This window comes from Homo sapiens, chromosome 6 (assembly GCF_000001405.40).
Source record: "Homo sapiens chromosome 6, GRCh38.p14 Primary Assembly".
In the NCBI taxonomy this organism is placed as follows: domain Eukaryota; kingdom Metazoa; phylum Chordata; class Mammalia; order Primates; family Hominidae; genus Homo; species Homo sapiens.
In genome coordinates this window covers 104,014,199-104,027,592 of record NC_000006.12, presented here as the reverse complement: position 1 = coordinate 104,027,592, position 13,394 = coordinate 104,014,199, and the positions used below count along the sequence as shown (strand labels likewise).

Here is a 13,394-nt window from a genome sequence, read left to right as displayed (position 1 = left end):
TGGCAGTCCAGTGACTCAGGGTCAGGTTCTCTGACACAATGGTCAGAAGTATTCTCCACTGGGTTTCCACTTAGGTCCTTCATTTTGCAAGGGAGGAAACTGAGGCTGCTTCTGACTCATGCAGTAAATCAGAAATGCCATCAAGGTTATATTCCTGTCCAGTAGACTTTCCGCTGCATGATATTTTTAGAATTAATTACTATATACATGTCTTTTCTATATCACATGCACACCATCATCAAGATTACTTCTTCTGTTTCAGGGACATTCAGATAATGGCTCACTCTTTATTTTTAAAAAGGTTCCCTGCTTGAAGCTTTTACTGTGGATTGGACAATTTATAATATATGAGAAAGTAATGTGAAGTTAGGAAAGTAAATTTCAGGCATTGACAGACAATCCCTGTTAAAAGTATTTTTTTTCCTATATTTTGTGGTGTCTAATAGCACACCCTAATCACACCTAACCGTCTGCTTTAAAAGTTTCACTAAAGCCTACTTTGTAGCAAGTTGCACTAATGGCAAATCTCGTTGTTAGAACAAGTAATATGAAGGCATCGTAGGAGGTGATAATCCTTCCTTTTTATAGTTGATAAAGTTCCTGGGCACACACCCTTGCTTTCATATACTTACAACTTCCTAAGAAATTAGTCTTTGAATGAATATACTTTGTTTTTCCTTAACCAGAGGATTGTTTTTTCTGAAAGTTAAAAGAAACAATTTAAAGTATCTAACCCTGGTGTGATTCCATCCTATGTGGCTATTCTCTGGGGCAGTGGTCATTTACCTTCCCCTGCCTTATCTCCCACCTAAATGCATGCTACCAGTTCATGGAAGATTCAATGGACATGTACATGATCCCCTGAGCACCCAGAACTGTCTTTTTGGTGGTGAACTAAAGACTGACAGACTATCACTTTAACATGAATAATGATGAAAATGAACACCAGTTATCTCTAAGAATGGTCAGTTTACATCTTGGCTAACACAGTGAAACCCCGTCTCTACTTAAAATGCAAAAAATTAGCCGGGCGCGGTGGCAGGTGCCTGTAGTCCCAGCACTTTGGCAGGCCAAGGCGGGTGGATCATGAGGTCAGGAGATTGAGACCATCCTGGCTAACATGGTGAACCCAGTCTCCACTAAAAATACAAAAAAAAATAGCCGGGCGTGGTGGCGGGCGCCTGCAGTCCCAGCTACTCAGGAGGCTGAGGCAAGAGAATGGCGTGAACCCGGGAGGCGGAGCTTGCAGTGAGCCCAGATCATGCCACTGCGCTGCAGCCTGGGCGACAGAGCGAGGGAGACTCCGTCTCAAAAAAAAAAAAAAAAAAAGAATGGTCAGTTTAGGGACCGGTACAAGGAATGAATTTAATGTTATTGAAACAGGGATAATGAATTATGAAGGCAGCTCAATTAAAGCAACACTGGCAATGTTAAAAAAAAATGTCTGTACAGCCAACTGTTTCCCTGAGAGATTTTAAATAGTACTATCCATGGTCTTAGAATTGCAGTGTAGTTCAGACCTTGTGCATATTAGTAGACAGCACTTTTAGGCTGTGGAGGAAGATGCGGAGTCAGAAGATGAAGAGGAGGCGGATGTGAAACTATAAAGTATATCTGAAAAGTGATCTGCCCCTGGGAGTGGTAGCAAGTTTCCACAGAGAAAAGTACAACATACTGCTGATGAAGAAGAAGATGATGACAATAATTTTGATGATAAGGAAACTGAAGAAAACTCCAGTGAAGAAATCTATGTAAGGTACTCCAGCCAAAAATGCACAAAAATCAAACCAGAATGAAAAAGACATAAAATCATTAAAACCAAGATCAAAAGGTAAAGAATCCTTCCAAAAAAAAAGAGGAAAATATTCTTACAATACCAAAAAGACCTAGTCCTATAGAAGACCTTAAAGCAAAAATGTTAGCAATAATAGAAAAAGTAGTTCTCTTCCCAAAATGAAAACCATATTCATAAATTGTATAAAGAATTGCTTCTGTATGACTGATCAGGAGGCTATTCAAGATCTCTGAATAAGGAAATCTCTTTAAGAAAATAGTTTAGGCTGGGCGCGGTGGCTCACGCCTGTAATCCCAGCACTTTGAGAGGCTGAGGCAGGCGGATCACGAAGTCAGGAGATCGAGACCATCGTGGCTAACATGGTGAAACCCCATCTCTACTAAAAATACAAAAAAATTAGCCGGGTGTGGTGGCGGGCACCTGTAGTCCCAGCTACTCGGGAGGCTGAGGCAGGAGAATGACATGAACCTGGGAGGTAGAGCTTGCAGTGAGCCAAGATCGCGCCACTTGCACTCCAGCCTGGGCGACAGAGTGAGACTCCGTCTCAAAAAAAAAAAAAAAAAAGAAAAAGAAAAGAAAAGAAAGAAAATAGTTTAAAGTTTGTTAAAATCTTCCATCTTATTTTATTTTTGTAACAGTTGATATTTGGCTTTCCTTTTTATAATACAGAGTGGGAACTTTCCCTGCCATGTTGGATAAATATTGCCCATGTTGCATTGCCAAAAATATATTGTCCAAAGTGCCTGTTTAGTTGTTAAGGATGGAACTCTACCCTTTTCTTGGTTTTAAGTATGAATGAAATTAGGGAGGACATAGTCGAAGCAGTGGTCACACTTGGAAATGATGGGAAAACAAAAATATACATATGAAACTCAGTGTATGATTTTTAAAAATAAAATATTTGAATGGCAAGGAAAATTATTTACGAGCATAAAATATATATAGATATATTTTAATATCCAAACTTGAGATGTTTATGAAAATCTGTATTTCAATTTGGGAAACAAAAAGGATAAGAATGAAATTTTAAAACGAATTCAGGATGAATAAAAAACAAAACAAAACACACACACACATGGAAACCAAAGGTTAGTGGCCATTACTAGAGATAGTTAGCATAAAACATCTTTTTTATCAAAATTGCTGGATTTTCCTTTTCCTTACTCTTTACCTACAGTCACCATTTTCAATGTTTTTGAAAGTCCTTTAAGGACCCCTTTAAGGACTCAGAAAGTAAAAGTGCCATTTTTATTTGGCATTTTAATTTTAGAACAATTATTTCAAATTAAAAACAATATGTACACATAAGAAATTCAAATGGAAGAAAATGGGCATACAATGCTAATTTTCTCTAAACTATTCTGCAGAGGCAAAGGTCATTAAGAGTTTTTTGTTTAATCTTCCAGGAATTATGGCAACATAAGGCTTTATATATAAAAATTTCTTTGAATAAAACAAGTGTAGATCATAATTCTGATGCAAATATATATATAATTTATATATATACATATACATGGCTACTGTATATACATCTACATATATATGTACATATCAACACTTTAAAAAATGTTTTATTGTTTTATTTGAAACCACTTGTAAAAGTTATCATCTCCTAAGGAAATTAACCCCAACTATAATTTTTAATTATATTGATTTATTCAAAATTTTACTAGGATGATGTGGCAAAGATCTATTTTTTCCTAATATCTATTTTCTCTCCTCTAAACTAATTGCATCCTGATAACTTAGGTGGATTAAAAGACAACCAGAGTAAAGACTTCATTTCCCAGTTTACGAGATGTTTATGTATGGCCTTGTCACTAAGCCCAACCCTTGGCATATTAAAAGAATTGATGCTTAATGACGCCTGGGTCATTTCCTTAATGATTAGCAGCACAGATAGGGTAGGGAGCAATTTTTGAGGCCATGTTGGGGGTGCAGTGTGGTAGGCAGAAGTCTGGGGATGATGGAGTAGTAAGATAGAAGGATCTCGACACTGTGAAGCCACCAGACCAAGGCTGCACTGCTATGCCTGGACTGTTACCTGGTCTGCCCCTCATTAGGAAGAAGCAAACCTGCATATAGTTTACAATATTCTGTTATTATTGATCATAATTTACTAGTTAAGATATTTTTTAAAAAGGAAGCCAGATATAAAAACTTATTTTAACTCTTTAAGGGCTTTAAAAAACAAGGTGAATGGAAAATTGTGCATTTCTTCCTGTTTCTATTTAAAATCTGTGATCCCCTTAGAGAGGCTGTATAAAAGATGCTGGGAGCTTTTACAAAATATTATAGCTGAACAGTGTTATTAAAAGTCCTCTCAGGATAGTTTGTTTTCCCTGGGTGGTCCTTTTACAGTAGATATTAAAACTCAAAGCCAAACCTTCACAATGACCCTCCTCAGTGTGGGGCTTGGGATCAAGGCCTATGTACAACCGTGAAAAAGCTTTATACTTTAATTTCAGCTTCTTAAAAAATCTCCCAAAGTATTGGATTTCACTAAATGATATATTTCTTTTCTTTTTTCTCTACTTATTGTAAATATCCACATTATGTTTAAGTTAGTCTGTAGATCTACATTAGAAGAGATACTATTAATCAAAAAAATGCCTAAGAAGTAATAAGCATGTGAATTTATTTCCAGTCTTACAGGCTAGTGAAGGATTTTGAATTATATTAGATGACACAAATAATGTTTTAGGATGAGAAATTGCAAAACTAACTCATCTCAAAGTACATGTCAGTTTGGATGAATGTTTTTTCATTCTAACAGTCTAACTATTTTTTGTGTATATTATTATTTGTTGCCAGTGTCCAAAAATTAGCATTTCATAAAATGTGAATATTTCTATTTGCATTATTGCTAAGAAGAGATTTGTCCACAAGCTTTTATGATGCAAGTAGATTTAACCTAAATCCAAAATTTAATTACAAATAAGGTTGTGTTGACTCATCCTTATGCATTTCAATTAGATGGGAAACACACCAGCTGGGAGCTCTCCACTTATAGATTAAGAAACATTAATTTCAAGATATCCCAGCATACATAAAAAGGATCCAAATCATCATAGCCTCTCAGTACTTTTATTTTTATATACCTGTTTGGCATAATACATATTTTTCCATATTGTCTAATTGTAAAGATTTAGTGGCAGAAATAAAAGTACCACAATGTATTGGCTTAGAGCATCCCCAAGCAAGTTCATGTTATAAACTTATCATTTCAAAAGCCTTGTAATTCATAATTCTTGAATTTTACTAAACTCATAGAAAGATTTTTTTATTATCTTGTGCTTTGTTTGTGTGTGTTAGTTATCAATACAAAAAAAAGTTTATTTAAAAGACCTCAGATGATTATTTTGATCCTTGGAACTTTCAAGACATTATCCTTCTGTACTATTGGAACAAATTAGACATTCTGTGAGAGATGCAAATACAACTTCCAAAGCTACATTTAATTGCATAATTTGTAATAGAAGCTGGGTGTGGGCACTGCCTGCAGGGTGATAAACAATCCAGAATAATCTAATCAGCATGATCATTGAATTTTTATTAGTCTTTGGTTAGTTATCCATTAATATGTGAAGGATCCCATCTTTGTGCCTTTATCTTTCACTACTGCACCTTTTTAAAGTTACTACAGAGAAATTTAGAGAAAACCAGAAAATGAATATCTCTAATTTACTTTAAAATCTAGCTCTACATACATCTTCTCTTGAAAATTTAACTCTGCATTGAGCAGTCCCCAGATTTTACTAATATGTTGCATTTGCTGTGCATACAGTGTGGGTTAACCTTAGCATGTACCTGATATTACTCAATTTTTATATTTGCCAATCACAAAAATTTAGGGAAAATGAAGGTGAGCAACACTTTCTCTTCCTTTTTCCATCTTCCATATCATCTGGAGATGTCAGAACATCTTAGTCCTAATTCTTTCATTAATAGCTGAGTGCCAAATCACCTCACTTCTTTAGCTCTCAATTTTCTCATCTGTAATATATAAAGTAGTATGACAAGAAATTTTTCTAAGGCCCATTAGTACCTAAAGTATAGGAACAAAATCAGGATCCCTACAAACTTAGTGGCTTAAAACAGCACAGTTCTTTGTCTTATGGTTTTTCGTGTCAGAAATATAAAATGTCTCACAGGGCTAAAATCAAGGTGTTGGTGGGGTTGTGTGTTGTCTTGGCCCGTGGCTCCTTCCTCCATTTGCAAAGCCAGGATTATAACATCTTTAAATCTTCTTTCTCTCTCTGGTTCTCTCTGACACATTAAAAAGACCCTTGTGATTACATCACTCTCACCCGTGTAATCCAGGATGATTTTTTACATCTGCAAAATTCCCATTCCTATATAAAGTAATATATTTTCAGTTTCAAGGGATTAGGATGGAGACCTCTTTGGGGAACTATCATTCTGCCTCCACACCAATGAACCCTGAATATCTTGCTTGCGTTTGCTTTATAAAACTACCATAACTAATTTAATATCTTGGCAAATTTTTCTCCTTTAATATTGACTGGTTTCCCCAATTTCCTGGTTTATTTCTCTTCCTAAGAATAAGCACAAGTAAACAGGTAAGACAAAATAAAAATGACAACCTTAAGAAAGTTCCTAAAATTTAGGAAATGTACAGTTTTCATTCATGGACTCTGGTCTAGATTTCGTGACTATCTAAGTTAGATGCTAGGTGACATTAGATGCCACTCCTCAGAGGTGGTCCTAAAATTACCTCTTAGAGCTCAGAGCTCCATGGAGACTTGGGGAGAGCAGCTCTGCATTTCAGTCCTTCAATGGCATTCTTACCCACATTTGTGGAATGAGGGGAGAGTATCTAGGCAATAGCTTCTTAGTTCTCCTTTAATGAAGACCACGACCACATTCTTTTTTCTGGCACAAGAATCCTTTCATTGGTTCAAATGTCAGAGATAAAATCATTTTTCTTCTTCTATGGTTGCCTTCACTTGCTGGTGCTAAAAGTGGTCACTACAAGACTTGTTTACTTCTTCAGTATAATTTGTCTATTTTCTTTTTCTCTTTTAAAAATTATAAATGTATAAGTTGTACTTAAATTCAATGTCATATTTTTAACTCAAATAGAACCAATGATTTGATTATCTTGAGTACTAAGTGTCTGATGCTCTAATCTGAGTTTCTTTCTCAAACATAGCAACTATCATCAATTGGTAAATACCTTCCAGACTATTTTTCTATGTATTTGCAGATGTATTTAATTATATATATATATATACACACACACATATATATATATATGCATGTATGTATGTATCAATGTATACTTCTCTTTTGTGGAGTTTTAAAATGAGTGATGTCATATCATATACTATATATATTATCTCAAAACATTTTTGTACTTAGTAAAATATCTTGGTAGTCTTTCAATGTCCTCATCTATTGATTTGCTGTATTATTTTTTATTGATGTGTAGCATTCTTTAGTATAGATGTACTATTATCATTTCCCTGTAGGATCAACAAATGATTACCAGTATTAATCCTGTTATAATCACTGGAGAAATTAGCATATTTTTATGTCTCTAGGGTGGAAGATCCTGATCAAAGAAATGACATATAAAAAAATCAAGGTATATCCCATACTGTGGCTTTAAAAGATTGAATTAATTTTTAACTACTCAGCTGTCCATGTGAATATGTTCCTTAAATTTCAACAATACTTGCCCATTTCATAGATGAAACTGTCAACATTAATGACTGTCTCCCCCACAAGACCACAGAGCTCTGTAAGACCAGGGCCATGTGTACTGTGCCCATCACTGTATTGTCTATATCTAGCTCAGCACCTGGCATATAACAGTCCTTTAATATGTTTCTTTGAATGAATGAAGAAAACCCTAAATGGAATGACATTGTACGAAGTTTTCATTTCATTAATCCTTACTCTAAAATTTATACAGTTTTAATATGGGAACTTAGAATGTTTCTACATTTTTTAAAATCTGAAATTAATTACAAATAAAAGTGGTGCTTTAGGAAGGAGAAGCAAGTCAATAGAAGAGAAAGGGGACAAATATCCAAGGGTCTGAGAGAATATTTGCCCCCCAAGAGACTGGCCAGAAAGGATATATAAATGACATCAGGAGGAATTGCAGAAGGTTCAGCTGCACCTCAAGCAGCTGCCAGAACAGAACAGTGAACTCAAATCCCTTGGAGCCATGGCCTTGGAGCAGCACGAACGCTGGTGGCTCTGTCCAGAACATGCGACCCTCTGTAACCAAAGCCAGCAGGTTCAGCAGAATCTCTGTCTTCACCCAAGGTGACTGCATTGGCAGCAGTAAATGTGCCAATGCAGGAAGGATCTCCAGGCCAGGTATGGCACTATATGCCCCAGAAATGTGCAACCAGGTCACCTCATCCCAGTCTATCCCGAACCTTCTCCCTTGTTCAGCAGCAGCAGCAGCAGCAGCAGCAGCAGCAGCAGGAGCAGCAGCAGCAGCAACTTTGTGCTCTCCCACCCACGCCTCAGCAACAGCCACCCTTGAATAATCACATGATCTCACAGACAGATGACCTCAGCAAGTCCTTTAGACAAATGAGCCCTAGCTGCCAAGGTTCTACTAAAGCAACTGACTGATCGGCAGCTCTGTTCCAGCCCCCACTCATCTCCCAGCACCGTCAGTGGACTAACTTCGTCATGGCTTCCATGGGTCAGTCCCTCCCCACCTCTAACTGTTCCACCTCTAGCCATGCACCACCTACTCAGCAAGTGCTGCTACCCCGGGGCTACATGCAGCCTTCTCAACCAACAGTTCCAGGTTTCTTTCTAATCCCCCTGGACAATATCCTAATTCCAACCAGCAATATTGACCTTTCTCTCACCTGGTGGCCTACAGATCCTGATGTGGTCAATAGCTGGCTCGGCCATCCCAGCAGCCCAGTTTATAGCCCATGATGCCTAACCAGCAGCAGGTGGCTTACCAAGGAATGACTGGGGTCCAGCAGCCACAGAACCAGGGCCTGCTCAGCAGTCAGAGAAGCAGCATGGAGGCCCAGATGCAAGGCCTGGTGGTTCAGTACACTTCACTGCCTTCTTACCAAGTCTCAGTGGGTAATTACTCACAAAATGTGGTCCAGCACCCTTTCTAGCAACTCATGCTGGCCCCTGTGAGCCAGTTTGGGTAAGGAGGCCCCCCAACAGGGGGCATACCAGTGTACTACAGCATGATCCCACTGGCTCAGCAGAACGGTACAAGCCCTACTGTTGGGGTTTTGCAACCTCCTGGGTCTCAGCAGTACCAGATGATTCAGTTTCCCTCTCCCTGCCGTCTACCACAGATGCTGCAGTAGCAGTCAAGAGTGTCACCTTCTGGACCAGGTGTGGTGGTCATGAGCTGAATTTCGCTAATGGAGCCTGACCCCACTCAGAACCCATCAAGGGTCCAGTGGAGTCACTGTAAATACTACAACATGGACCATGAGGGGCAGAAGCCTGGAGACCTGTACAGTCCTGACATCAGCCCCCAGGCCAACATACAAATGAGCAGCAGCCCTGACACATCTCCTACCCAGGCTTTGCCACCTTCTCTTGTCACCAGCCTCAGTGGTGGCTGTCTGCACAGGACTCAGTCCCTTGCTTGTCCTCAGATGGTTCCCCTGGCCTGGGGGTCCAGCACAGGGTGATGGGTGCTACTCCCTCTTAGGCCAGCCTTTAGAGTATAATCTGTCCATCTGCCCTCCCTTGCTGCATGACCAGTCAACTTACACAGTACACCAGGGACAGAGTGGACTGAAGCATGAAAACCAGGGCAAGAGACAAGCACTCAAATCTGCCTTCTCTGACATGGGGACAGCAGATGTTGTTTTGGGGCAGGGGCCGGAGGTAACAGATCTCCCTAAGGGCATCACCTGTACCGAGGCAGACAAACTCTTTAAGCAGCTTGCCATGTCCAGTGCCAAGACCCAGCTCAGGGGCTGCCTGGTGGGGGTGGAGGGGACAATGGTGGGACTGCTGAGAATGGCAACTGCTTGGACCTTGCTGCCTTTTACACCATCATGGCTGTGTTCCCTAACCTGCTGGCTGCTCAAAATGCCTCCCTTCATCTCAACAACTCCCTGAATAGCTTCACACTTTGAATGGCCAAAAAGAACTATGACCTGAGGATCCCGGAGTGAGCCAGCACCCACTAAATGGAGAAGAGGAAGGGAGCAGCCCAGAAGGGGCGGGGGCAGGATAGAGGGTGTTGAAGGATCCTGATAGACTGTGGATGGAGACAGAAAGTAAGGAGACTGACGCTAAACTGGAGCCTAAGACAGTAGTGATGAAGACCGAAACAGAGGGACATCCACACTGGCATTGGATTCCTTCAGGCTCTCCTTCTTTGGGTCCCCTTTTTTCCCCTGGTTGGCCCCTCTGCTTCCTTCTTCTTCCCATCCACTTGTATCATTTTAATCTATTTTCTCTTCTATTTTTTGTTCAGGAATAAGTATTCTCCAATTTTTATTTTAAACATCTCAAGCTCCCTTTCCTTTTTTTTTTTTTTTTTTTGAGATGGAGTCTCATTGTCACACATCCTGGAGTGCAGTTGCCTGATATCGGCTCACTGTGACCTTTGCCTCCCAGGCTCAGGTGATCCTCCTGCCTCAGCCTCCTGAGTAGCTGGGACCACAGGTGCATGTCACCAACCCTGACTAATTTTTTGTATTTTTTGGTAGAGATGGAGTTTCACCATATTGCTCAGGCTGGACTCAAACTCCTGACCTCAGGTGATCCACCCGCCCCAGCCTCCCAAAGTGCTGGGATTACAGGCATGAGCCACCACTCCTGGCCCTTTTTTGTCTTTATGAATGTATTTATATGGACAGAAATATGGACAGAATTATGATAAACAAAATTGATTTCCACATTCTCTCACTTCCTCATCTTGCCTTCCCAAACCCCACAGAGTTAACACTGGGAACTCCCCTCACCTCCAAGAACACTTGTATATTGTTTGTTTAATATCTGTGCCACAGTAATAGACAGTGTTTAATTGCACAAATAGATGTTTGCTGGGTATATTCACTGTAAATTTTATTTAATCTGTTTTTTTTTATTTGAGGGCTATTTGGGGGCAAAGTTGATTTTGTTTTTAAATATAAAAAAAATTGTCACTGGAAAAAAATACAACTCAGCATTCCATTGGAAGAATACTCAGTAATCTTTTGCCCATTACAAATTCTTTTCACAATTTTTCCTTAAGCAACACTTTTATTTGCAATTAATTTCAGATTTTAAAAAATGTAGAAATGTTCTAAGTTCCCAAATTAAAATTATATAAATTTTAGAGTGAACATTGATGAAATGAAAGCTTTTGCACAAATGTCATTTTATTTAGGGTTTTCTTCATTTATTCAACCAAACAAATTGAAGGACTGTTAAATGCCAGGTGTTGAGCTAGATATAGACAATACAGTGACAGGCATGGTGCACGTGCCCTGGCCTCACCGAGCTCTATAGTCTTGTGGAGGAGACTGTCATTAATGAAACTGTCATAGGTGCTAGCAAAGCACAGTATGCAACAGGGTAAGGTTGATGGAACATGAGGTGGCAGGGAAAATTTCTCTGAGGCAATATACTGTGAGCTTGGCCCTAAAGGAACAGTGAAATAGATGAAGAGTGTAGTGAGAGAGGGAGAAGAGAGAAAGCAGTTCATGAAGAAGGGCTATCTCATGCAAAGGCTCTGTGCATGAAGGGAATATGGTTGTATTGGAGAGCTAGGCAGAGTGCCTTGAGGTGGAATCAGAAAAAGACAGGGCTAAAGCCTACAGTGCTGTGGTTATGGCCATAGCAGACATTTGAGGAGGGGAATAACATGGTTAGAGTTGCATTTTGAGAAGATCACCCTGCCTATCTTATGGAGACATGGCCCAGAAATGATGCTGAGAGACCAGCTGAGACCATTATATAGTTGTTAAGGACATCAGTATGACTAACATCAGGGTTACATATAAGCGATCATAAAAATATGGCTCAACGAGGGAGTCAAGGTGTTTTGAAGGTATCTTTAAGAACCAAGTGGTTAGTTTTGCTCAGTTTTGTTTGATACAAAGTTGTAATTTAATTCATGAATAGTAACAGCTCTGACATTTTACCAATAGGGAACTTTACAAAACTGTGCACCACACTGAATAAACGGAAACCTTTGGATCTGGCTGAATCTACTAGTTAGTAATGCTGTTCAGAAATTAATATATGATCTGTGGCACTTTTTTTTGGAATGGCCATTTACTCAGAATTTTTAAACAGTATTTTATTATGGAATGTATTATATTTGTACTCTGAGGAAGCTTAAGATAGTTTGGTGATACATATAATTCTTTTGAATTTCAAATAACACATTTGGTTTATTTTTCCCTTCTTAAACTAGAACACATCTTCCTGGAAGAATTGGGTGGGCTTATGTTGTAAAATTGCTTCTGTTTCAACGAATTCTGTCCCAATTAGGAGCCAATACTTTATATAAGGATGAAAATATTTGAAAATAATACCTTATACTTTTATCAAAAAATTGTATATATTTCTTATTTTTAAACCTAAATTTTCTACTGTTACTGTCATTATATTATGTATTTTAGTCACCATACATAAGTCATAGCCATTAAGTGATTATTCATCTTAAAGCTATAGCTCCAAATATTGTCTATCCTGTGTGTATTTTTTATGCTTTGTACAATAGTTGTATTTTGAGAGTAAAAGTTTTAGCCATAAGCAAATCCTAAAACCATCTGCAGTAAACCAATCAAAATGTGATTTCCAAAAAAAATGCTAAGGGGCAAGACACCTCAGATCATTCTCATGTCATAGATTGGCAATGTGCAAGAAAATTCTGTTCCTCACTTCTTTGATTTTATCCCTTATTGTCAGTAGATTCAGAGGCATGAGTTTGTATTTCCTTAGCTTCCTTCTGCTGCTTTCTACCCCTTTATTCTTCCAGTCTTATGTAAGAATACTTTTTCTTCTGTGATTCTTCTCATGTAGCTGAGTTCTGACCTTCTATTAGGCCAGAGGAATCAATATTGTGATAAGATTCTTGCCAAACTTTTGCCCATGAGAAAAATCTTGGGGAGAATGAGGAAGTTAGCTAAGAATTATGATTTTCAGATTGTGAATAATCACGCACACCAAAAAAAAAAAAAAAAAACCCAAACTAAAATATCCCAGATGACTAACAGCTATATTGGGTTGAATGATGATGTAACCTACTTAATTTGCATGTAATTTTCATCTAATCAAATGTAGAAATGTGTCTATTTTTTCTTCACTTCTTTGATTTTATCCCTATTGTCAATAGATTCAGAGGGATGGGTTTGCATTCGCTTAGTTTCCTTCTGCTGCTTTCTAACCCTTTATTCAGCCAGTCTTATGTAAGAATACTTTTTCATCCCTGTGGTTCTTCTCATGTAGCTGCACTAATGTGTGACTTTTTAAATCAATCATCCTGTCAGCTATTCAGACTTTCTCATGTATAGACATTTGCTTCTTTTCCTTCATTCAAAGTCCTGCCATAATCTTAAAGGATTTGAATCCATTTAATAATTTAGTCTTTACATTTTTGGCTCTACTTAATCCAAGGACC

General features: G+C 38.5%; 2 pseudogenes; both read left to right on the top strand.

The window, feature by feature from the left end:
• On the top strand, positions 734 to 2,666 carry NPM1P10 (nucleophosmin 1 pseudogene 10; annotated as a pseudogene).
• R3HDM2P2 (R3H domain containing 2 pseudogene 2) lies at positions 7,886 to 10,163 on the top strand (annotated as a pseudogene).
• The last annotated feature ends 3,231 nt before the right edge of the window (positions 10,164 to 13,394 follow it).